This window comes from Homo sapiens, chromosome 10 (genome assembly GCF_000001405.40).
Source record: "Homo sapiens chromosome 10, GRCh38.p14 Primary Assembly".
Taxonomy (NCBI): Eukaryota; Metazoa; Chordata; class Mammalia; order Primates; family Hominidae; genus Homo; species Homo sapiens.
Window position 1 is genome coordinate 87,478,233 of NC_000010.11, and position 26,624 is coordinate 87,504,856.

The window sequence follows — 26,624 nt, forward strand, 5'->3', positions numbered from 1 at the left end:
TTGTGTACCATATGGAAAGGGTACACATGCTCCAGCAAAACGATTAAAGGCAACCCTCCAGAACAGGCGAAAATGCTATGTGTGTCCTAGCCTATAATTTGTGTGATAACATCAGGGTTGTTTTGATCTTATACTAGGGACAGTAAATAAAGTAGAAACCAGAAGTTATTCATGGGACTGGGTCTAATCAGAAGTCAACATGGTGGATTAGCGTCCAAGATGGGGTGGTTTTTGTCTCCACAACCTTAACAAGGCTGTTGAAAAAGTGATCCATAAATACACATATAATCACTTTTCAAAGTCAAGAAACAATAGATGCTGGCGAGGCTGTGGAGAAAAAGGAATGCTTTTACACTGTTGGTGGGAATGTAAATTAGTACAAGCATTGTGGAAGACAGTGTGGTGATTCCTCAAGGATCTAGAACCAGAAATACCATTTGACCCAGCAATCCCATTACTGTGTATATACCAAAAGGAATATAAATCATTCTATTATAAAGATACATGCATGTGTATGTTTACTGCAGCACTATTCACAGGAGCAAGGACATGGAATCAACCCAAATGTCCATCAATGGTAGACTGGATAAAGAAAATGTGGTACATATACACCATGGAATATTATGCAACCAAAGAAAGGAAAGAGATCATGTCCTTTGCAGGGACACAGATGAAGCTGGAAGCCATCATCCTCAGCAAACTAACACAGGAACAGAAAACCAAGCACCTCATGTTTCTCACTCATAAGTGTGAGCTGAACATTGAGAACACATGGACACAGGGAGGGAAATAACACACACTCGGGCCTGTCAGCGGGTTGGGAAGAGGGAGAGCATCAGGATAAATAGCTAATGCATGCAGGGCTTGATACCTAGGTGATGGGTTAGTAGGTGCAGCAAACCACCGTGGCACACATTTACCTACGTAATAAACCTGCATGTCCTGCACATGTACCCCAGAACTTAAAATACAATTTTTTAAAAAGAAAAATACATATATATACCTGTAAAGTGCAAATTCATAACTAGAAAAATGCAGATTAAAAAAATGCTAAGCTATTATTTCTCACCTATCAGATGGGTAAAAATTAAAATAAAATTTTAACTAATAAAATGTACTAAATTAAAATATGACAACACATTTTGTTAGCCAGATCTTAGGAAAATAATCACTCTTTTCATTGCTGTTAAGGAATACAAACTGCTACAACCCTTCTCAAGGGAAACTTGGCAATACCTAATATAACTACATAAGGAGCCCTATAATCTCACTTATAAAATCTACCCTGAAGATACATATCCAACAATATGAAAAACATATGTACAAGTTTATTCATTGTAAGATTATATATAATTGCTAAATTTAAGAAACAAATACTCATATATAGAACAGTGGTTTTTAAATAAACTCTAATAATTCACACAGGAGAGCACTATGCAGCTATAAAATAAATGAGGAAGAGCTCTATGGATTCATATTCAGAGATTTCCAAGGTATATTTTTATGTGGAAAGCAAAGTACAGAAGAATATCTAGAGTATACTACTCTTCATGTAAGAAAGAAGTATATATAAGAAAATATACATATATCCACATATATGAGGAAAAACATACTGGAAAGTTAAACTAGAAACAAATGAGATTCGTCACCTACAGAGGTTAAGTAGGATCAGTGTGGAAAAATTGGGGAATAAAAATGGGTAGAAATGATTAGAGAGATGTGACACACTCAGAGTATTCCTATATGCATAGCTCTAATTCCTATAAATATGGTAATGTTTCACCCCCCCAAAAAATAAATAATTAAAATTAACCAGGATGTTGGGGAAGGGAAGACCCAAAATGGAATATAAGCAGTAACAAATAAGCCCAACTGTATTACAAATAAATGACATAATTATACTAAATGGGATAAAAAATAAAAGAATTATCTAACATAACCTGGAGAACATTATTTTAACCATATACTAGAAGGCTAAAAACAGAAAGAACTGTATGAAAATTTTGTACTTTAGTAAATTTGTTTTTCATAGGGTATGGGTTAGTATTTCTGAAACTACTTTATGTATGTACTAGGATTGAGTAATTAAGAAATACACTGTGGATATTGAGAGCCAGTTTTCTGTCAGATAAAAGAGTTAAAATAGAGAAATTGTGAAGTAGCACAAACTCCAGATTGAAATCAGAGCAGGAATATCAGTGTGAATTCATGGATATACATGCAGTGAGATCCCAGTAGCAATGAGCACAACTAGTTTCCAGATCTTGGTTTCTAAATACCATTCTCGATGAAAGGAACCAGAGCTCCTTGGGGAAATGACTGAGTCCAGACTAGAGCAGGAGGAATGCAAGATGAGCTTAGACCATTTAAAGTGCCAGAAAGTAAAGACATGTTCACAAAATAATGGGGGCCAAGTCTACAAGACGTCGGAGCCAACTTAAAGGAGCTACTAATGCCCAAATCTGGACAATTTGAACAACATGATCAACTGTGTGAAAGGCAAGTACAGAAGTGTATCTAGAATATATTACTCTTCATGGGGTTGTTTTACAGTTAACTTTTTTTTAATAAGTAGAAGGAGTACACTCTAGAATAATGATAAAAAGTATAGTATAGTAAATACATAAACCAGTAACATAGTCACTTATTATCATTATTAAGTATTATGTACTGTACATAATTGTATGTGCCATACTTTTACATAGCTGACAGTGCAGTAGGTTTGTCTGCATTGCATCACTATAATCCTGTGAGCAATACGCTGTGTTACCAGGTTATGAAAGCTACCATGTCACTACATGATAGGAAATTTTCAGTTCAATTATAATCTTATGGGACCACCCACTATCATACATGTGGCCTGCCATTGACCTAAATGTAATTATGAGGTGCATGACTATATATAAATATACATATGTTGGACATTCTGATAGGAAAATGCCTGGATATATAAGAAACAATGCTTTTACCTCTGAAAATCTGAATAAGGGAGGCTAGAGAGATAGAAAGACTTTTACTCTTCATATAATAATCTTTTTAAAAAATAATAAACTTTTAAAAATACTGTCAATATTATCCTAGGAAGCATAGTTTTATTTCTGTTTTCATTAATTAATTTGGACCCAGCATTGATGAAGTAAAGTTTAACTTTTATTTTAGTTTTTCTCGATTGTTGAATGAACATTCTTTCTCCCAGTTTCCAATTATGTTATCTACATTGAATCACTGCTTGACTCCATTTCCATATTTGTAGTGTTAGTCCCTGGTAAGACAATAAACTTCCTTATAAGCAAATTTAGAAGCAATTATTTAATTCAAGCTTGCACAATTTTCTCGAGTCCAGCACGAGTTGTTGCCACATCTAACAATAGCAAAGTAAAGGTTGCAATGCTTACTAGTGATGATTTCTTGAGGAAGAAAAATAAGTCTTACTTAACAATAGAAACCTTTTTTGTCTTGCTGCCCAAGTCACCAATTTTATATAGGGGAAGTAGTTAAAATTAACTAATTATGACAATTCCAGGGTAAATTAATTTCTTAGAAATGTTTCAGAGAATAATACTTTCTGCCTCAAAAGTATGCATTTATTATGTATCAAATAAAATTTTAAATTTAGAGAACATTGAAGAAATATGAGATCAGAGAAATCAAAGATTATTATTAAATTACATTTCTTTTGGTATCTCCTGAGATTTCTCAATTATGCATTACTTGTATTCATTCATTTATTCATTAAATACAATATTTATCTAAAACCTGCTATGACCAAGACTGGGTGAGGAACTGGAGACATAGCTATTAAAAAAATAGTATTTATATTTATAAGTGATGAAACAAAAAGAAAAAATAGAAGGTGAATCGGTAGGTAAAAAGAGACAATAGACTACCAGCCAATCTCAATGTGTGAACCTTGTTTGTATCCTGATTCAAGAAAAGACATTAAAAAGATTATCTGAAAGAGATAATTAAAAATCTGAATTCTGCCTGGATAGTTGATGATATTAAAGAGGTATTATTCATTCTTAGGTGTAATAATGACATTGTGGTTATGTTACAAAAAGGAGTCATTTCAGAAACAGACTGAAATATTTACAAATAAAATCATGTGTTGTCTGGGACTTACTTCAAAATAATGTGTGAGTGTAGGGAATGGGCAGGGTTGCAGTAGGGACAGGATTGGCCATGGGTTGATGGTTACTGAGGCTGAGCGATGGCATGTGAGGTTTTATTATTTTATTGTTTACTTTCATCTATTTTCAAAAAGTTAAAAAATCAGCCCTCCCTTTGCTGAAAAAAGAAAAAAAGAAAAGAAAAACTACAGGTTTTGTCCCTGCCTCCTGGAGCTTTCAGTTGTAGAGAGAAAGCAACACTTACTGAGAAACTAAAAGATGATGTGTGTTGTAAAATGAGAGTGCAGGGTGACATTGCAATTGAGCAAGCTATCTTGAGGTAGAGAGAGAAGGTAGTCAAAGATTTTGTTGACAGTTTAGTTAGAACTAAAATTGATAGCGCCATTGTACTCCAGTCTGTCACAGACTGAGATATTATCTCTTAAAAAAAAAATGGCTGGGCTTACTTTGGGAGGCCGAGGCAGGTGGATCACCTGAGCCCAGGAGTTCAAGATCAGCCTGACCAGCACAGTGAAACTCCATCTCTACTAAAAATAGAAAAAATTAGATGGGCGTGGCGGCACACACTTGTAATCCCAACTATTCGGCAGGCTGAGGCACGAGAATCGTTTGAATCTGGGAGGTGGTTGTTGCAGTGAGCCGAGATTGTACCACTGCACTCTAGTCTGGGCGACAGAGCAAGAATCTGTCTCAAAAAAAAAAAAAAAAAAAAAGCCTATAAACTAAAATTGAGAGATGGGTGGACTTGTGTGGGAGAGAGAAGATAGGGGCATATGCCAGACAGAAAGCAGCATGTTCAAAGGTCTGAAGCATATGTACATGTATGCAGTTTACATCCTATATAAGTCAAAATTGGATGTAAAGTTTAAAAGTTAGCTGAATATTTTGTTTACATATGTCATAGCGTTTATCTGAAGCTGAGCAGGGTATATCCACATTATTCTTTGCCATGTCATCTCCAATTACATGCAAGTAAATTCAACAAGATTTGTTCTCTGTATGAGGGACGTAAAGTTGAATAACTCATGGTCACTTAAGAACCTTACAGTCCAATGGTAGAGACAGATATATTTGTCTATACCTTAGCAAAGTAAAACATGAAAAGATCTGTACTAATGGAATGAGCTGGATACTGTGAGTGTATTTAGGAGGAGTGATTAGTTACGCCTTATTAGAACAACAAAAGGCTCAGAGAGGAGCATGCCACTAGAGCTGGGTTTTAAAAGTTAAGTAGGACTTGATTAGGTAGAGAAGGGGAAAGAGAGGCCATTCTAAGCAGAAGGAACAACGTGAGCACAGACTCAGACTCAAAAGTACATATTGTATCCAAGGACCTGCAGGTAAATGATGTGGTTAGAACACAGGCTTAAAATAAAATTAAAAATGGCCTGGCGCGGTGGCTCACGCCTCCAGAACTTTGGGAGGCCGAGGTGGGCAGATCACAAGGTCAGGAGTTCGAGACCAGCCTGGCCAAGACGGTGGCCAATATGGTGAAACCCTGTCTCTACTAAAAATACAAAAATTAGCCGGGCATGTTGGCACGTGCCTGTAGTCCCAGCTACTCGGGAGGCTGAGGCAGGAGAATCGCTTGAACCTAGGAGGTGGAGGTTTCGGTGAGCCGAGATCGCGCCACTGCACTCCAGCCTGGGCAACAGAGCGAGACTTCGTCTAAATAAATAAATAAATAAATAAATACAATTTAAAACATCTGTTCAGTGCTGTGATAAGATGTCATTTGCATGTTTATATTTTTCTTTTTTTTTTTTTGAGACAGAGTCTCGCTCTGTCGCCCAGGCTGGAGTGCAGTGGCGCGATCTCGGCTCACTGCAAACTCCGCCTCCCAGGTTCACGCCATTCTCCTGCCTCAGGCTCCCGAGTAGCTGGGACTACAGGCGCCCACCACCATGCCCAGCTAACTTTTTTGTATTTTTTTAGTAGAGACGGGGTTTCACCGTGTTAGCCAGGATGGTCTCCATCCCCTGAACTCGTGATCCGCCCACCTCGGCCTCCCAAAGTTCTGAGATTACAGGCATGAGCCACCGCGCCCGGCCATGTTTATATTTTCCAAATGCTTCACAAAGAAATAAATGCTTCCTGGCTTCCATCACAGGCATTGCAGGAAAGGAATTGTCTAACTAGATGACTACAGATAATACAAAGCAGTGAATAAAAATAGAAGGCAGTTCAGAATATGTTTCAGCTCTCGATTCTCTAAGAAATTGATGACAAGTACAACTGAGTTAACATCAAAGCATCAAACCAAGCTTTTCATAAGTGAATTCAGCCATCTTCATGGTGCCTGGGCTTCCTTGCTGGCTCCTGTCCTCCTGTTCACCTCTGGATTTGGTAGTTCCTTTAGACTTGGTCCTAATCCTTTTTCTCTTCTCATGTTACTTTTTTTCCCATGGCTTTGAATATATACTTATGACTCCATATTTAGCACCAACTCAAACCTCTCTTCTCAACCTCAGATCCAAATACCCAAATGCTTTCAAGGCATTCTTACTTAAATGCCGCACAAATGTAAGATGTCTACAGCTGTACTTGTTCTTTTCCATCAATCCTGCCTCACCTCCAGTCTTCCACATCCTAATGATGCCACCTTCTACTCGGATATTCAAGCCAGAACCTGGATATTATCCCTGACTCCATCTCCCTCATGTTACACATTCAAACTCTCACTAAGACCATTTGGTTCTACCTAAAATTTTGTCTTGAATCTCTCCATTTCTGCCTTCTTTACTGCTGCCACCCTAGTATAAACTATCATCCTCTCTTGCAACAACTTTCCAAACGGTCATCTACCTTCCACTATTGCCTATGACAATGCATTCTCTATCTTAGAAGATGAAGATTCGGTAATTCCCCTGATTAGAATCCTTTAGTGACTTCCCTCTACTCTTTGATGAAATGCAAAATCCTAACTAAGGCTAGCAGCTTCCTGAAAGATCTGCCCCTATCTCTCCATCATTTCAAATCATTTGTTGCCTGTGTTATTGTCCTATTGGTTTTTAGGGTCTTAAATGTGTCCAGAACCAGCTCACAACCTTCATGCTTGTTTTTTTGTTCTTTCCAGAAAGTTATTTTCCCCTGTCTCTTGGTTGGTTCTCTCTTTTTAGGGGAAGCTTTTGCTAGGACTTAGAAAGTAAAAATCTGTTCCATCACTCATCAAGCTGGATTAATAAACATTGATAAAACTAGCTGCAAAGTTTACGGGAAACTAGTTATCCCAAAGACATGCGATAAAGCTTCATAACAACCCCATTCTTTGAGTGATTACTGTTTTCTTACTTGCTAAGAAACTTTGTTCTTTAAAATTATATGCTATTAGAAAAGAAACGTTGTCGTTTGAAATTATATTATTATAACATAAAACATCATAGTGTCTTGGAGACTCTAAAACACTTTGACACAGAGAATCAGCCTCCATTTCCATTCCAGCCACAGAGCTTAAGAAAAGGGCTTCTGGACACAATAATCCATATCTGTCTTAACTTTCTAGTTTTCAAGGAAGCAGAACCCTGGATCCTGCCCAGACCTGATGTTGACTCCTGATTTGCTTTGAGTTCATCAAAAGCCACTTAAATGGTTTCAATTAAATCTCACCCAAACTCTACTCTTCCCCCAAATCCTGTAATGATTATCTTGTCCTTGTTTGGTGAGTGAGATGCCTCACAGTTCTGTGTGTGATCTCCCTCACTGCAATGAATCTATAAATATGACTTTGTCGAACTCTAAGTTGTTTCCTTGCGCTTGTAGACTGATTGAGGTAGGACATGTGACTCTTCTTCAAAAAGTCTTCTCTAAAGTTCCCACGACAAAATAGGTCCTCCTAATTCGTTGTATCATCAGCACCTTCTACTTTTCTTTCATAGTGTATTATATCCTTCAAGACCCCAAAGGAATTCGATACTTAAGTCAAAATATTTGGTTAAAAATATTAATCAGTTATATCTGCTCCACTTTGTCGGTAACGGGGTAAAGTGGAAAACAATCCAAATGTCCAATACTTAAAGTTTGAAGCAGGTTAAATATTCCTTACCTCCCATACTACATCTCATGATGTTTGCATGGTGCATAAAAGTTTTGTAAGCCTGTAGTAATTTGAAAGATTAATTTTTGACCAATTTGAAAAAGTTTTTAAGCAAGTTGAAGAACCTTGACAAACAAGCAAAGCGGGACTGATTAACTGAATTAGAAAGAAAAAAAACCTGAAATGGTAAAAAAAAATTATTTAACACATTCTTTTTATTGTTTAGTTTCTTATGTGTATTTTTATATATTTATTATGGTATTAAACCAAGGAATATCTTATGACAGGAAAGCAAAAACAATACAAAGGACACAGTAATTCCACCTATCTACAAGTAGTAGAACTTAACATCTTTCTTTCCTTAACACATTATCTCCCACTGAACACAACAATTTTTTTTTATTTTTTTATTTTACTTTTTATTTTATTTTATTTTTTTTTTGAGACGGAGTCTCGCTTTGTTGCCCAGGCTGGAGTGCAGTGGCGCCATCTCAGCTCACTGCAAGCTCCACCTCCAGGGTTCATGCCATTCTCCTGCCTCAGCCTCCCAAGTAGCTGGGACTGCAGGTGCCTGCCACCACGCCCAGCTAGTTTTTTGTATTTTTAGTAGAGATGGAGTTTCACCGTGTTAGCCAGGATGGTCTCGATCTCCTGACCTCGTGATCTGTGCGCCTCAGCCTCCCGAAGTGCTGGGATTACAGGCATGAGCCACCGTGCCCAGCCCAACCATTTTTTATTTTAAACAGTCTTGTCATTGAAGCTTTAATATTATTAATTTCTAAGCTCCAAAACCTGAGGGAGGAAAGGGAAGGCTGAAGTCTCAAGAAAGAGCAAAGTAGTGAGATGACTGAGATGCAACTTCCTACCTCACAAGTTTGTCTTGGGTTAATTCTAAGTCCTAAAAACTACCAAGTATCCACTCAGTAAATAGCTGTTGAATAAATGAATGAACAGATGTCTCAATAAGCAAAATTGGTTTAATATGTCTATTTAGTGTTCAATTTCTCATAAGGATGTTATTTCCATGTTTAGGATAAAAATTCAAAATAGAGTTTTCAGCTCCTTACATTAGCTAAGGTGGGTGTACATTTATCTCCTGCCTGGTACCTTTCCTTTCTGACAAGTTTCTAGTCTGCTGTATTACACTATCTAAAACAGCCACTCTGAGCTGACTAGCACCTTATCACTTTAGACTTTCCTCACCTCCTCTGGCCCGGCACATCTAATATTTTGTTTAATCCTAAGTACTCCAGTTATTGCTCATGTCAAGAACAGACACATTATCACTGGAATTCAGGCTGAGGAAGAAACTCCACTGAAGCCTTCAGTCTCAACATTAAGAATCAAGGAAGGCCTTTATTTATTTATTTTTCAAATACCAGCCATCCTTCATCTGCACCCCAAATCATCAAATGTTTTTATCAACTCTCTGTAAAAATTTTGAATTTCTTAAAAAACTGAAACAGAGATGATAAATACAAGTAGCCAGTTTTAAGTACCACTGCTTCTTACTTCAAAGAATTTCCTCTAGATTTGCTATTGTTTGCAAAATATATAGCGGTGGCTCACGCCTGTAATCCCAACACTTTGGGAGGCCAAGGTGGGTGGATCACGAGGTCAGGAGATCGAAGCCATCCTGGCTAACACAGTGAAACCCCGTCTCTACTAAAAATACAAAAAATTAGCTGGGCGTGGTGGCACGTGCCTGTAGTCCCAGCTACTCGGGCGGCTGAGGCAGGAGAATCACTTGAACCTGGGAGGCAAAGGTTGCAGTGAGCCAAGATCGTGCCACTTCACTGCAGCCTGGGTGACAGAGTGAGACTCCATCTCAAAAAATAAATAAATAAAATAAATATATATAAAACATATATTAAATATTCCAGTTACAAAAATAACAATTACCAAAAACTCCAACAAATAATACCTGTGCCTAATATACAGTGTGGCAATGTTCATTATGAAGTTTTAATACAGAGAACTTTTTTTCAGAATTTTTAAGAGAATAAATTTTTCTTTTAAGAATACCTAAGCCTTATGAACATCTGATGTTCAAATACCCAGCAATGGCTGGTCGTCTTTTGCTTGCCTAAACTCCATCTGAACAATGGCAAAGCTCTGCTGAACCAACCAACATAAGGAATTGCACATCCCCACATTTCTTTCCATCTTTTTCTTTTCTGTCAGACTTTCACTCTTTTGCTGATAGTAAGTACCCTTAATCTATTAAAAGAAATACAAAAATCACTTCTGACTTGCCTATTCTGTTTCATTATATGCATATTTACATCACCACTGTATGACAAATTATTTCACCTCATAGACCCTGTTTTCTGATCTGTAAAAGTGGTTAATGGTACTTACCTAAAAGGTTGTAAAATTTTTTAAAATAAAGTATGTAAAGCTTTCAGTGCAATGCCTTGTATTTGGCAAGTGCATTGTAAATGGGAGTATTATCTACATCAACATCTTCATCAAGATTACAATACTGCTGTGACTCATTCCTGATTAAGGTCATGCATTACTTAACAAGGATATAGTCTGAAAAATTCATCATGAGGTGATTCCATCGTTGTGCAAACATCATACTGTGCACTTACACAAACAGAGATGGTATAGTCTACAACACATCTAGGCTATATATGGCATTGTCTATTGTTCCTAGGCTGCAAACCTGGACAGCCTATTATTGTACTGAATACTGTAAGCAGTTGTAACATAATGGTCAATATTTGTGTACCTAAATGTAGAAAAGGTACAGTAAAAGTAAACTATAGAAGATATAAAGTGGTACACTTAGGCCAGGCACAGTGGCTCATGCCTGTAATCCCAGCACTTTGGGAGGCAGAGGCAGGAGGATCTCTTGAGCCCAGGAGTTCAAGACCAGCCTGGGCAACATGATGAAACCCTGTCTGTACCAAAAAAAAAATAACAAAAAACAAAAATTAGCTGGGTGTGGTGGTGTGTGCCTGTGGTCCCAGCTACTTAGGAGGCTGAGGTGCAAGGATTGCTTGAGCCCAGGAGGTGGAGGCTACAGTGAGGTTTTTTCTTTTTCATTTTCTTTTCTTTTTTTTTTTTTTTTTTGGTTTTTTTTTTTTTGAGACGGAGTCTCGCTCTGTCGCCCAGGCTGGAGTGCAGTGGCGGGATCTCTGCTCACTGCAAGCTCCGCCTCCCGGGTTCAAGCAGTTCTCATGCCTCAGCCTCTCGAGCAGCTTAGGACACAGGAGTGTGCCACCATGCCTGGCTAATTTTTGCATTTTTAATAGAGACAGAGTTTCACCATGTGGGCCAGACTGGTCTCAAACTCCTAGCCTCAAGTGATCTGCCTGCCTCAGCCTCCCTAATTGCTGGGATTACAGGTATGAGCCACTGCACACAGCCTATAAGCTTTCTTCTATTTAAAAATTTTTATTTATTTTTTACTTTCAAACTTTTTTGTTTAAAAATGAAGACATAGCCAGGTGCTATGGTGCAAGCCTATAATCCCAGCTACTCAGAAGGCTGAGGTGGGAGGATTGTCCAAGGCCAGGAGTTCGAGGCTGCAGTGCAATATGATTGCACCTGTGAACAGCCACTGCACTCCAGCGTGGGCCAACATAGTGAGGCCTAGTCTCAAAAAAAAAAAAACAAAAAACAAAAAGACATAAACACACATTACACATGAGACTAGGCCTACACAGGGCCAGGGTCTTCAATATCACTGTCTTTCACTTCCCTATCTTCTCCCATTGGAAGGTCTTCAGGAGCAGTAACATGCATGGAGCTGCCATCTCCTATGGTAACTATGCCTTATCTGGAACACCTCCTGAAGGACTGTTTTGCAGTTAACTTTTTTTTAAGTATAAAAAAGACACTCTAAAATAATAAGACAAGTATAATATAGCAAGTACATAAACCCATAACGCAGTCGTTTATTATCATTATCAAGTACCATGTACTGTACATATTGTATGTACTATACTTTTATAGGACTGGCAGCACAGTAGGTTCGTTTACACCAGCATCATCACAAATATGTAAGTAATGTGTTGTACCATGATCAGCTCTGACATATCTGGGCAATAAAAATTTTTCAGCTCCACTGTAATCTTAAGGAACTACCACTGTATATGAAGTTTGTCATTGACCAAAAGGTCATTATGTGGTGTGTGACTGTAATATAAAAATAGCTATTGTGATAAAATTATTTTAAGGGAGGGAGACAATGGGTTGGGAAGTAAAATTAGTCATTTTGTTAGTTTTTTATTGCTGCTGTAACAGATTATGACAAACTTAAACATTAAAATAACACAGATGGGCCAGAAACTGTGACTCTCACACTTATAAGCCCAGCACTTTGGGAGGCTGAGGCAGGAGGATTGCTTGAGCCCAGGAGTTGGAGACCAGGGTGGGCAACATAGTGAGACCCCATCTCTACAAAAAATAAAAAACAAAATTAGCCAGGTGTGGTGGCACATGTCTGTAGCTCCACCTACTCAGGAGGCTGAGGCAGGAGGATCATTTGAGCCTGGGAGGTTGAGGCTGTAGTGAGCCCAGACCATGCCACTGCACTCTAGCCTGAGCAACAGAGCAAGACCTGTCCCTAAAAAAATAAAAATAAAAAAAAACAACACAGATGTATTGTTGTATAGATCTGGAGATCAGAAGTTTCAAATGGGTTGGCAAGGCTGCTTTCCTTCTGGAGGCTCTAGGAGGAGAATCCATTTCCCTGTCTGTCTCAGCTTCTAGAGGCTGCCCACATTCCTTGGATCTAGCCCCCGCATCACTCTGACCTCTACTTCATCACATCACCTTCTCTCCCTTTGTCTCACATTTCCTTTTTTATAAAGATCCTTGTGATTACATTGGGGACATCAGATAACCCAGGATAATCTCCCAATTTCAAGATCCTTAACTTAATCACATTTGCAAATTCTCTTTTGCCATATAACGTAACAGTGATAGGTTCTGAGGATTTGCATATGGAAATAATGGAGGCCATTATTTAGTTTAACACAGTCATTAAAAAAAGAAATTGGGGCATTTAACCTTCTAGAAACTGAATTGAAATTTCTCCATAATCAATAGAAAACTTTCTATTTTCTCAACACTAGTGAAACCTGCTTTTCTTTGGTGACACCAGTTGATAAAAATAAAACTATTTCTGATTCAATATGTTGCTTTCCCCTTTGGTTATCAGTAGTTTAATTGAATTATTGACTACAGTTTTATGGCAAATGTGAATTCTGGGTTGAACAAACTAAATTGAGATGCAAATACCAATTTGTAACATTGATCCTGTGGGTGAATAATTTCATAGTCCCAACAAATGTACTTATGTTTACCAACTTGCAATACAAGGTCTTTTTAAAAGTAATTAATTTATTTTTATTTTTATTTTTTTAAAGACAGGGTCTCATTCTGTCTTGCAGGCTGTTGTACAGTGGCCTGATTATAGCTCACTGTAGCCTCGAAATTCTGGGCTGAAATGATCCTCCTGCCTCAGCCTCCAAAGTAGCTGAGACTACAGGTATGTGTCACCACACCCAGCTAAATTTTATATATTTTTTCTAGAGACAAGGGTATGTAGCCCAGGTATTTGACCCTCCAAATCTGATGTTGAAATTGGATACCCAGTGTTGGAGGTGGGGCCTAATGGAAGGTATTTGGCTCATGGGGCAGATCCCTCATGAATAGATTAATGTTCTCCCTGGGTTGCAGGTGAGTGAGTTTTTGGTCTCTTAGTTCCTGTGAGAGCTAGGTTTTACAGGATTTTTTTTTTTTTAGGCTGGTCTTGAACTCTTGGGCTGAAGAGATCCTCCCACCTCAGCCTCCCAAGGTGTTGAGATTACAAGCATGAGCCACCTCACCTGGCCAAGAGCTAGTTGTTAAAAGAGCCTAGCACTACCCTCCTCTTTCTTGTTTCCTCTCTCACCATGTGATCTCCACACACATTGGCTTGCCTTCCCTTTCTGACATGAGCGGAAGCAGCCTGAGGCCCTCACCAGATGTGGATGCCAGTGCCATGCTTCTTGTACAATCTGCAGAATCATTAGCTAAATACACCTCTTTTCTTTATAAATTACCCAGCCTTGGGTATTCCTTTATAGCAACACAAACAGAGAAAGACATATGCAATTTGCCATTTTAATCATTTTTAACTGTACAATTTGGTGGTATTAATTATATTTACAATGTTGTACAACCGTTACCACCATCTATTACCAAAACCCTTTCGTCACCCCAAATAGAAACTGTGCTTATTCAGCAAAAACTCCCACTTTCCTCTCCTTCCAGCCTCTGGTAACCTCTGGTAACTTCTAATCTACCTCCTGTCTCTATGAATTTGCCTATTGTAAATATTTCACATAATGGTATCATACACTATCTTTTTGTGTCTAGCTTATTTCACTTAGCATAATGTTTTCAAGGTTCATCCATCTTATAGCATGTATCAGTATTCCATTCTTCTTTTCTATGGCTGAATAATAATTGTATGTATATACTGCATCTTGTTTATCCATTTATCTTTTTGTTTGTTTGTTTGTTTTTTAAAGACAGGGTTTTACCATGTTGGCCAAGCTAGTCTCGAACTCCTGAACTCAGGTGATCCGACCACCTTGGCCTTGGAAAGTACTGGGATTACAGGCGTGAGCCATCGTGCCTGGCCTATCCATTTATCTTTTGATAGACATTTTGGTTGTTTCTACCTTTTGTCTATTGTGAATAATGCTGCTATGAACATTAGTGTACAAGTCACTGTTTAAGTTGTTGTTTTCAATTCTTTTGGGTATTGTATTAGGCCATTCTTGCATTGGTATAAAGAAATACCTGACACTGGGTAAGTTCCAAAGAAAAAAGGGTTTAGTTGCCTCACATTTCTGCAGGCTGTACAGGAAGCATAGCAGCATCTGCTTCCGGGGAGGCTTCAGGAAGCTTCCAATCATGATGGAAGGCAAAGTGGGTGCATGCATGTCACATGGCAAAAGCCAGAGCAAGAGAGGAAGTGGGGAGGTGCTGCACACTTTTAAACAATCAAATCTTGTGAGAACTCACAATCTTGATGACAGCTAGAGATGGTGAAGCCATTCATGAGAAACCACTCCCATGATCCAATCACCTCCCACCAGGCCCCAACTCTAACACTGGAGATTAATTATATTTCAACATGAGATTTGCATAGGAACAAACAGTCAAACTATATCAGGTATATACTTAAGAGTAGAATTACTGGGTGATAATTCTGTTTTACGTTTTGAGGAATTGCCAAACTATCTTCCTCAGCAGTTAAACCATTTACATTCCCACCAGCAGTATACTAGGTTTCCAATTTCTCCACATGTTCAACAACACTAGTTATTTTTTCTTCTAATTATAGCCATTCTAGTAGGTACAAAGTGGTATCTCATTGTGGTTTTAGCATCTTTTGAGTTGCTTATTGACCATTTACATGTCTTTTTTTTAGAGAAGTGTCTAAGTCTTTTGTCCATTAAAAAAATTGAGTTATTTATCTTTTATTTGTTGAGTTGTAGGATTCTTTATGCGTTCAATTCTTTTGGGTATTGTATTAGGCCATTCTTGCATTGCCATAAAGAAATGCCTGAGTATATTAGTTTTTTGTCAGATATATGATTTGCAAACATTTTCTCCAATTTTTTGTGTTATCTTTTCACTCTCTTTATAGTGTCACTTGATACACAATTTTGATGAAGTCCAATTTATCAGTTGTTTCATCACTTGTACTTTTGATGTTATATTTAAGAAACCGTTGTCAAACCCAAGGTCATGAAGATTTTTCAGTATGTTTTCCTCTAAGAGTTTTATAGCATTTAATATTTAAGTGTTTTATAGCATTAAATTTTGGTCTTTGATCCATTTTGAGTTAATTTTTGTACATTGTGTAAAAGTATAGGTCCAACTTCATTCTTTTGCTTGTGGATATCTAGTTTCCCCAACACCATTTGTTAAAGAGATTGTCCTTTTCCCCATTGAGTGGTCCTGGAACCCTTGCTGAAAATTAATTACCCATAGATGTGAGTGTTAGTTCTGGCCTCTCGATTCTATTCCATTGGTCTATATTGTCTATCTCTGTGCCAAGTCCATGCTATTTCAATTACTATAGCTATGTAGTAAATTTTAATATCAGAAAATGTGATCCTACAACTTTGTTCCTCTTCAGATTATTTTGGCTATTTTGGGTTCCTTGAAATTTTATATGAATTTTAGAATAGGTTTTTCCATTTCTGCCAAAAGCGCTGTTGGGATTTTAATAGCATGATTACATTGACTCTACATATCATTTTGAGTAGCGTTGTCATTTTAACAATATTAAGTCTTCCAACTTATGAACACAGGATCTCTTTCCATTTATTTAAGTCTACTTTAATTTCTTTCCAGAATGCTTTGTAGTTTTCAGTGTACAAGTCTTCTGCCTTCTTGGTTAAATTGATTTCTAAATATTTTATTCTTTTGGGTACTACTGTAAATAAAAAATTCTTAATTTCCTTTTCAGATCTTTTACTGCTAGTGTGTAGAAACACGACTGATTTTTGTGTGTTGATTTTGTATTCTGAAGCTTTGCTAAATTTGTTTATTAGCTTTAAGAGGCTATTTTTGGTATTCTTTAGGGCTTTCTACACTTATATCACTTGCAAATAGAGATAGTTTTACTTCTTCCTTTCTAATTTGGATTTATTTTATTTCTTTTTCTTGCCTTATGGGTCTGGCTAGAACTGCCAATACTATGTTGAATAGAAGTGGCAAACACAGGCATCCATGGCTTCTGATTTTAGTGGAAAAGCTTGAAATTTTTCCCCATTGAGAATGATGTCAGTCGTGAGTTTTTAATACATGGTCTTTATCATGTTGAGACAGTTCCTTTCTATTCCTGGTTTGTTGAACAGTTCTATCATAAAGGAGGAATGGATTTTCTCAAATGTTCTTCTATATCAATTGAGATGATCATGAGTTTTTCACTCCTTCATTCTATTACTTGGTGTATTACATCGACTGATTTTCATATGTTAAACCATTCTTATATTTCTGGGACAAATCTCAGTTGGTCATAGTGTAAAATTCTTTTAAGGGCTGCTGAATTTAATTTCCTAGTATTTTGTTGGGGATTTTTGTATCTATAATGCATTCATAGGGGACATTTGGCTATAGTTTTCTTGTATTGTCTGTCTAGCTTTGGTATCAGGGTAATGTTGGCTTCATAGAATGACTCAGAAAGGGTTCTGTTTCTCAACTTTTTGGAGGAGTTCGAGAAGGATTAGTGTTAATTCGTTTCTAAACGTTTGGTAGAATTCACCAGCGAAGTCATCAGTTCCTGGGCGTTTCTTTGTTAGGAGAGTTTTGGTTGCTGATTCAACCAAAATTGAATATCATTACTTTTTATAGATCTATTCAGATTTATTCTTTCTTCTTGAGTCAACTTTGTTGGTTTGTGTGTTTCTAGGAATTTGTCTATTTCATCTAGGTTATCCAATTTTTTGACATATAGCTCTTATACGAATTCTCTTACAACCCTTTTTATTCCTATAAATCAGTAGTAGTGTTTTTCATTTCTGATTTTAGTAGTTGAGTATTCTTTTTCCTTAATCTAGTTAAAGCTTTGTCAACTTTGTTGATCTCTTCAAAGAACTAATTTGTTGTTTCATTGATTCTATTGTTTTTCTATTCTCTATTTCATTTATTTTTGCTCTAATCCTTATTATTTCCTTCCTCTTTATGGCTTCAAACTCAATTGAACATAAAGTATTAAGAAATTTGATTTTTTTCTCAAATGTCTAAGATGTAAGAATAAATATATCTAGAGTCATCAAAAAGCAGCCTGTTTGTCAGATTTACTGTTTAATCCATGTAAACAGCTTTCATATAATTCATGATAGAATATCACTATGTGCTTTGGAAGACACTGAGGAAAGACAAAAGGTCATTGGGCAGAACCACCCTAGATTGAATGTTAAGGCCATCTTCTAGTTTGCAGGACTTGTGGTAGACAGACAGAATAATATCCTGGACCTCTTGGGTGTATACAGGACAAACTGAAATAAACTCTCATTTTTAGATCATAATGTCATCATGAAACATATCAATTTGGTCTATTTCTGAAGAAAACAAGCACAATGATAAAGTTTGAATGTTTGTCTCCTCCAAATCTCATGTTGACATTTGATCCCCAATGTTGGAGGTGGGGCCCACTGGGAGGTGTTTTGGTTGTGGGGGCAGATCCTTCATGAATGGCTTGGTGCTGTCTTCACGGGATTAAGTTCTCACTCCTACTTCCCATGAGATCTTATTGTTAAAAAGAATCTGATACCTTCCTCCCCTCTCTTGCTCTCTTCCTCCCTGATCATGTGACACACGGGTTCCCCTTTGCCTTCCACCATGATGGAGGCTTCCTGAGGCCCTCAACAGAAGCAGATGCTGGCGCCATGCTTCTTGTACAGCCTGCAGAATTGTGTGAGCCAAATAAACCTCTTTTCCTTATATATTACCCAGCCTCAGGTATTTGTTTATAGCAATAAAAACAGACTGAGACACATGATGAAGACCCTTTGATATCCTATAAATATTGATATCTCTCCCTGAGAGAAGAGCATGAATCTAAGTGATGCCATTACTGTAATGTGAATTCCACAACTCTCCTCAAAGATGTGGCCCATATGTTCCTAATAATGGCTTTCTAAGAATCTGTTCTGAAGGGGTACCTTCTCTCTGATTTTCATTTGCATTTCCTGCTTAGCTTACACACTTCACCTTGCCTACCCACCTGTCCTGACCCCAATAACCTCCATCATCAGACATCTCATCTTACCTACCTACTTTCTACTTTTCCCAGTCCTTCCCGTGCTTCATAAACCATGATCATGAGCTAGAGACACAAGGTCATAGCTAAGGAGTTGGGATCAGAAAATCGCCTTCTGTGATTTTCCATTATTCTCAATACATAACTTCAACAAAATCAAGAAAAGCATGAAAGGACATCCTAAGGGGTCAGGTGAGGTTGCAGTGGGGTTAATCGGTCAATAGTTTCTTTATGCCAATTAGGATTTCTGCAGAAAACAATGAAACACTGGTTTAAACAGTAAAAATATTTTAATTCCTTACAGAAGCCCATGGAACATACACTCCAGGTTTAATTCATCAGCTGAATAGCATCATCAATGACTTAGGTTCTTTCCACTTTCTGCTTGTCATCTAACTGTGTTGGCTTTATTTTCAAGCTAGCTCCTCCCTGGTTGCAAGATAATTGCAGCAGGTTTAGTTATCATATTCGGACATGCTAACACCCAGGGTAGTGATCCCTTCCTTGCATTTCTTTCTCATTTTAAGAACAAAGTGTTTAAAAAATTATACTTAAAATTATTGGCATCTCTGTCAATTGAAAGATGTCAATCTCTTTCATTTTTCCTAATCACTAATAACATCTACTAAAAACAAAATGTCTGTGTAAATAATTTATTTGAATAAAATTAAAGTTGTTGAGTGAGCTCGGCTTTTGAGGAGTGGGAAAGGAGGGGTGCATAGATTAGTGGAAGATGAGAAGCTAGTGGGGCTCAAGTCCAGCAGGAGCAGAAGTTTGGAGCCAGGACTTCCTAGCCTCTCAGGGTTTTTTTTTTAACTTCCTTACCTGAAATGATTTGTGCTATACAACTTGTCCTGGCTAAACTTTCTTAATCTCAACTGTTTCATTTAATCAATAACAACTACTGTGCCACCTTCATAATATCAATTTTCAGCATTTCATTTACTGAATATCATTTCCTTTCCTTCCAGACTATTTTACTGTGTCAAATTCAATATTCCTTTGACTCAATAGGATCTCCAATCCAGTGACCCCATTACTTGTTTGCTTATTAGGACAAGAAAAACAAACTTTCCCAGAAACTCCCCAGTAGACTGCTCCTCATATCTCATTGGCTAGAACTGAGTTGCGTGCCCATTCCTAAAACAAAACTGGCAAGAAAGATAGTTACCAAGATTGGTTCAGACCAAATCAGGATTTTTTCCTGAGGAGAGGATAAAGTGAGCTTCCCGGGAGGCAAATATTTACACATTCCAAAGATTCCAAAGAAAAAAAGAGAATAAATACTGGGTCGTTAACTAATAGTAAGTGGTACGGTATTACAGGTAAAATTTATCCTTTTAGCCCTAGCAACAAGTGACACCTTCTGAAGCCATTATTCATTTGTCAGGAATAGGGCAAGTATTAGGAAAAGAAACACAAAAATAAACTCTGTTTCCATTTATTGCATTCTAGCACTGGTTCTACCAAATATTTGTTGGATGACTTTAGGTAAAGCATCTAGCCTCTCTGTCTTGATTGCCACATCCACAATATGAGATAAATATTATTCTGCATACTTCCTGGGAGAGCTGGGAAGATAAAGTCAGATCATTATACCACATAAAGCAAAGCAATAACACTTCCATATTTTAGCTTCCCACACTGCCTATCTGTCCTATTTTCATTTATTCATTTATACTTTTCAACAAACAGTTGCTAGTAGTTTGCTTAATGTAAGATATGGGATGAATATTTTCATGATGGCCCCTGCATCTAAGTTATCATTTAGCAGTACCTGCCTTATCTCTTGTACCGAATCAGATTAGACAGCATAGGAAGAATGAAAAGGTGAGGTGGGATAATAAGGAATGTTGTTTGTGGAAACATAATGGTTGCTTCAATTTGAGTGTAAACTGTCCTTTTTACTGAAGCAATTGCAACCAAGTGTGTGAGTTCACAGGTGCCTACCTTGCTTTTTTGGCTTAGGTATTGTTTGGGTTTTAATACTGACTGATATATAATACAGACAAATCAACTCAATCAAAGAAACCAACTCAATCAAAGAAAGATGGGTCTACATACAACAAAACTGAACAAAATCTGCAAGAAGAGTGATTCATACATGGGCTATTGAGGCAACATGAAATGGACATTAATTGACTAAGTAAAAAACAGATTTCTTGAAGAATTAATAAAGAACTTTTGTTTTGGAAGTTCTCTATTGTTTAAAATTAGCCAGATGTGGTGGCCTGCACCTACAGTCCCAGCTACTCAGGAGGCTGAGGTGGAAGGATCACTTGAGCCCAAGAGGCGGAGGTTGCAGTGAGCTGAGACTGTGCCGCTGCACTACAGACAGCCTCCTGCGTGACAGAGCCAGACCCTGTCTCAAAACGTGGGGGGGAAGAAAGTTCTCTATTGTTTGAAATAATAAGGAAACATTAAAGGCTCTAAAGTCAGCTAACCAATAGTCCTAAAAATAGAATGGCTCAAAAAGATTGTCCAATTTTGGAAAACTAACATTTCAAAAAGTTGTTTCACTTTTTATGAATCCTAAGATTTCCATATCCTAGAAAACTAACATCTCAGAAAAAAAAAAAAGATGGTAAAACACAATTGCCATCATCTATGCCTGTTCTGTAAAAATACAGAGAAGAAGAGAGTGTTTGGTTTTTTTAACCAGGATTTGGAAAGCCATTATTTATCTCTGTGATAGAATAACAATATGTTTTGGATGGAGGGTAATTCTAGGGGAAATTATATTTCTGAACAACAGTGTTGGTTTGTGCAGGAAAATCACCAAAGAACATGACTAGAAAGTGTATAGCTACAGTTTCCCTCTTTTAAATGGGAATAGCAAAACATATAAAGAATATTGATAGGCCGGGTGCAGTGGCTCACGCCTGTAATCCCAGCACTTTGGGAGGCCGAGGCGGGCAGATCAAGAGGTCAGGAGATCGAGACCATCATGGCTAACACGGTGAAACCCCGTCTCTACTAAAAAATACAAAAAATTACCCAGGCGTGGTGGTGGGCGCCTGTAGTCCCAGCTACTCGGGAGGCTGAGGCAGGCAAATGGTGTGAATCCGGGAGGCGGAGCTTGCAGTGAGCCGAGATCGCGCCACTGCACTCCAGCCTGGGTGACAGAGCGAGAGACTCTGTCTCAAAAAAAAAAAAAAAAAAAAAAAAGAGTATTGATAGTTTAAACCTACTACAATTTTGCATCTAGTTTCTCAAGTAGTTCTGTGGATTTAGAACCAACATTTGCTGAGGGGAAAGAATTACCAACATCAAAGTCCTAGGATGTGTCAGGGCACCAGAAGAGAAGTTTTGTCACTGTAAAATAACTCTCTTGGCAGAGCATGATAGAGACTGTAAACAGCAGGTTACTTCAATGGTTATGTGCGATTCAGTGAAGATCTCTACATTAATTGAAGCACAACTCAAGCAATTCAATGTAGCTCTGATATGCTGGAGAACAATCTAGCAGTTAGCTATCAGCGGTGGTGTGGTTCCTTTTAAGCAAAGGTAGCTTGTAGTCTTCAGACTTGTGACCTGTGCAGCCTCCACATTCAAGTGAGGTTAAAGGGACTGCTGTTGGAACATGGATCACTCCAGGCCTATCTGTACACATGGACCCCTCTTCTGTTGGCTTCCACTGCAACAAAAAGCCAATAAACACTAAATCAACATCTGGCAACTGTTAAAAGAGGAATGATGCAACAGCAGGGCAGAAAGATAAGAAAGCTCAAACTTTCCTGGCATAGGCACAAAGTTCGTTGCTTAATGTAGTTATGAGATAATAAATATCTATGAAAAACTATTTGTCAGTTTATTTAAGAGAGACGTGATAATAAGAAACCCTTTAATTCTGCTTAATAAAAGCAACTGATATTTATTTGGGGGCAGAAACTATATAAAGTCTTTATATAAGCTGTTTCGTTTAATCCTCTCAACAGTCTCATGGCTAGGTATTATTATCCCCACTTTACAATGAAAAAGAATGGTGGCAAAATAATTTAATTTTTTAAATATTTCACAGGTAATAAGAGATGAAGCTGGAATCTGAAAACCAGAAAGTCTAACTTCTGAGACCATGTTCTTAGTATTGTATATGCTTACATAGAGAGCCTTGCTGTTTCCCTACAGAATTTAGCTGTTTCCTTTCCTTTATTGTTTCATCCCCAGAAAACTATCTTAGTAACCTCTTTAAAAGTAAAGTAGATGGCTGTTAACTTAAAATACTATATATGACACCATGTAATCTTTTTTTTTCTTTTTGAGATGGAGTTTTACTCTTGTTGCCCAGGCTGGAGTGCAATGGCGTGATCTCAGCTTACTGCAACCTCCACCTCCCAAGTTCAAGCAATTCTCCTGCCTCAGCCTCCCAAGTAGCTGGTATTACAGGCGTCCACCACCACACCCAGCTAATTTTTTTGTACTTTTAGTAGAGATGGGGTTTCAACATGTTGGCCAGGCTGGTCTCGAACTCCTGACCTCAGGTGATCCACGCACCTCAGCTTCCCGAAGTGCTGAGATTACAGGCATGAGCCACTGTGCCTGGCTGACACCATGCAATCTTAAAAGCTGAATGACTATTTTTGAAATCCTATGGATAATCTGGCAAAAATAATTGAGCTTATCCTTTCGTATAGTGGATTGATTAGAAATGAAGTTCTACTCAAGACCCATTAATGTAGGACCATCAAGTTAAACTTTTTTTCTTTTCCACTCTGAAAAAATACAACAGATAATGTTTGCTTCTAAATAAAATTGCAGAACCACTAGCAATTCATTCTCAGTTGGATCTCCAGAGCTGACCATACAAACTTCTACTTGTTTCTCCCATTCCTCTTAGTTGTCAATCCTTTCCCATTACTTTCCCATTTCTCTCAGTTGCAAATCCAAACCATTTTCACATTTCAAGACTTAATTCCTATTCCCCCATCTTTCAAACTTGTCTCCTATGTTACTGTGGAAACTGAGGCCATCAGACTTGAATTCTATGAACTCTCTCCTGCCAGATCTACAAATTTATCCCCATGTTCACCCATCCTTCTAACATTCTCTTAGAAGATAAGGTCTCATCTCCTTCTGGCCCAAATCAAATTCTCTACCTGTGTTTTTGGTTCTGTCCTCTCCCATCTCTGCAAGGACCTTGAACCATTAATTTTCCTTTCTGCCTCTTGTATTGTGTTAGATTTGCCAAATATATTGCTCCCATACCCACAATTTCTTATGAGGGGAGGTGATGTTCCCATGATCTCTGCAAAGGAATAGCCATGTTTCGCACTATGCAAACTTCTCTGTACTACATGATTGGACCAAGTGGGCACCTATGTCAAAGGGCATCCAATTTACAGAGTGCCCAGATAATTCAGACATGGTCTGGCATGAAATGAGGAGCACGGCCTGTGACCTTTTTAAATTTTTTCAAAGGCTGCTTAGTGCTCTAAGAACAAGATATCCATTTTAAGTGAAATGAGTGGATTTTTATTATTAGAAAAGTTATGAAATGATCTTTGATGCATGTGTTGCCTGTGAAAGTCATTCACTTTAATGTTCAGTGGGAGTAAGTGTAATCCATGTAATTGCTAGAAAGCTAGGCATCTTAGCACAGGAATAATCACACTGAACATTAGTAATGATAAAAATATCATTTATAGCGGCCTATCATATGGATTTTAAATACATCATCTCTGTCATGATAATCCCATGATATAGGTTCTAATATTACCAATTTTCAGATAAAAAAAAAAAACTAAGGCCCAGAGAACTTGGGTCACTCAATTAATAAGCAGCAGAGCTAATTAGAGTCTGGGTCCAAAGCTTAAGCACTCTTCGTCTTCTTTATATTTGGCTTTTTCCTAGCCAAAAACATGGAGGCATTGCTTACTTTTACTTTATCATTGTTATCTTGGCATAACATCAAAATAATTAGGAGCTGATATACCTAAGTGTATAAAACAGGATAAAATTAATTGATGAGGAATTAGATAAGGAAAATAAAATCAAACTAGGGGCAAATTTCATGTATAAAAATGTGTACTGTGCCATACATTTTGTAAGTGGAGTCTCTAAAGATTGCTTCATAAGGAAGAAGTGAATAATGACTTTGGGAACACTTGGTAACCCCTAGGACTCAAAAGATTGGGTGTGAGAAGTTATTAGTAAGCATATGTATTAGGCAAAATACAGTGAGATGAACCTGGAACAAATGCTCGCTGAATGCACTTAGAAATATTATCAGGCGACTCAGCCTATAGAGCATACGGGTTAGAATGTCTATTTTAAGAAGGAGCGGATATTTACTAAATGCTAATTTGAGCAAAGTTCTACAAAAATATCACTGACCATGAATATTCAGGCATTGACATGCTACAAAATAGCATATCGAAAAGAACATCTGTTGCCCTAAAGATGGTTTCCTGCACAGAACGTCTCCAAATTTTCAGCATTCATAGGCTGGCCCCGTTTCTTCTTGGTTAACATTTAGAGGCACGCCTAAACTTAGAGGAACACCTCTCTAAACCAAGGAGACACTTAAAGAGAAAAGGAGTAAAGATGGTGATGGGCTTATAAAGAGCAATGTAATAGTGTCTTTGAAGCAAAAGCTAACTTAATGAAAACGTGGTCCCAATTTCCTTAAATCTGGATCACCGTACGACTTCTGTAATACTTATTATTTCCCCAGCTGGCAAATAAACTGGAGTTCAAGTGGGAAAAAACAAGGTATTGTTCAGACTTATGATTTTTGGGGTCAAAGATTCTGAGCAATAACCTATTAAAAAACCCAGCTTTTGATTTGAGTATGTAAGTAAGTACATGGGAGGAACGTATGGATCTGGAGTGGTGGTAAATACAGAGCATGTTTGCTTCGCAAAGCAGATTAGCTCATACTTAATAATAGAGTAAATCTGTTGGGCCATGACTCAATGCACCCAAATTCTCTAGATTGCTATGTCTCTACTCGCTAAGCCTTCGGGAACAACAAGCACAGAACTTTTAGGGTGCTGTCTCACTGATGTCGGCGTTAGCTCTGGTAGTCCAGGTCAAGATTATACCAAAGATTCAGGACTTAAATTCCTGCAGAATGTAAGCCCCTTTCCAAGTTCTCTGCTTTACTGTATCCTGTTTATTTTCAAACTCAAATGGAAAAAAACGAAACAAAAACCTTGGGCTTCAAGAGGCATCCTGCCGCAAGGCCCAGCGATGTGAATTTTCAACAACCGTCTCAGGCAGATTTCATGCTGATGGTTCAGGCACTAAACTTTGAAAAACACAGTATCACAGAGTAGGGATGGTGATGTAAGAGTCATCTGTAAAAGCTGTGCTGTTTTGGCAGCCTGGGAGGCTAAGGTTTAGTCTAGGCGACTAAGGTTTAGTCCGGGCTGTATTCACACCCAAAACAACTAAAAAAGCGGAGGAGTCTTTGAGTCAATCCCTGAAGCTCCGGCTAAGAGGAAACTCGCCCACGCTCCAGGGCAGCGACGCCGGCTCCACCTCAGCCACGGCTGTCTCAAGCTTCTCGGGGTTTTCCGCCGGCTCCACCCGAGCCACAAGTCTACAGGACTCCTCGGAGCTTTCCGCCGGGACGCAAGACCCACCGCCAGAGGTTGGTACCTCCTAGAGAACAGCGAAGCGCATCCCGAGGGCCGCCGGCCGGAAGCGCCCTCCAGACCCGCCCCCTGCCCTC

At 38.1% G+C, this 26,624-nt stretch overlaps 2 long non-coding RNA genes and 1 other non-coding gene across 3 annotated transcripts in view, besides 1 other annotated feature; 2 read left to right on the forward strand and 1 right to left on the reverse strand.

Moving 5' to 3' along the window:
- LOC112268063 (uncharacterized) overlaps positions 1-14,197 on the forward strand; it is a 62,306-nt gene extending 48,109 nt beyond the window's left edge. Inside the window, exon 3 of the long non-coding RNA XR_002957093.1 lies at positions 13,572-14,197. This is a non-coding gene — a long non-coding RNA (uncharacterized LOC112268063). The remainder of the gene's footprint in view (positions 1-13,571) is intronic.
- A 6,177-nt stretch (positions 14,198-20,374) lies between these two features.
- LOC112268064 (uncharacterized) lies at positions 20,375-26,602 on the reverse strand. Its single transcript, XR_002957094.2, has 2 exons — positions 26,103-26,602; positions 20,375-22,586 (listed from the first exon to the last, which is right to left on the reverse strand). It is a non-coding gene; the product is annotated as an uncharacterized LOC112268064 (long non-coding RNA).
- Positions 22,386-22,770: a transcriptional cis regulatory region, noted in NCBI's record as "candidate enhancer chr10.3228 targeted for multiplex CRISPR interference". NCBI's record gives its function as "positively regulates MINPP1 gene expression with high confidence in K562 cells {active_cell/tissue: K562}" and the evidence as "EXISTENCE:mutant phenotype evidence [ECO:0000015][PMID:30612741]".
- Positions 25,649-25,722, forward strand: MIR4678 (microRNA 4678). The gene has a single exon (NR_039825.1). It is a non-coding gene; the product is annotated as a microRNA 4678 (primary transcript).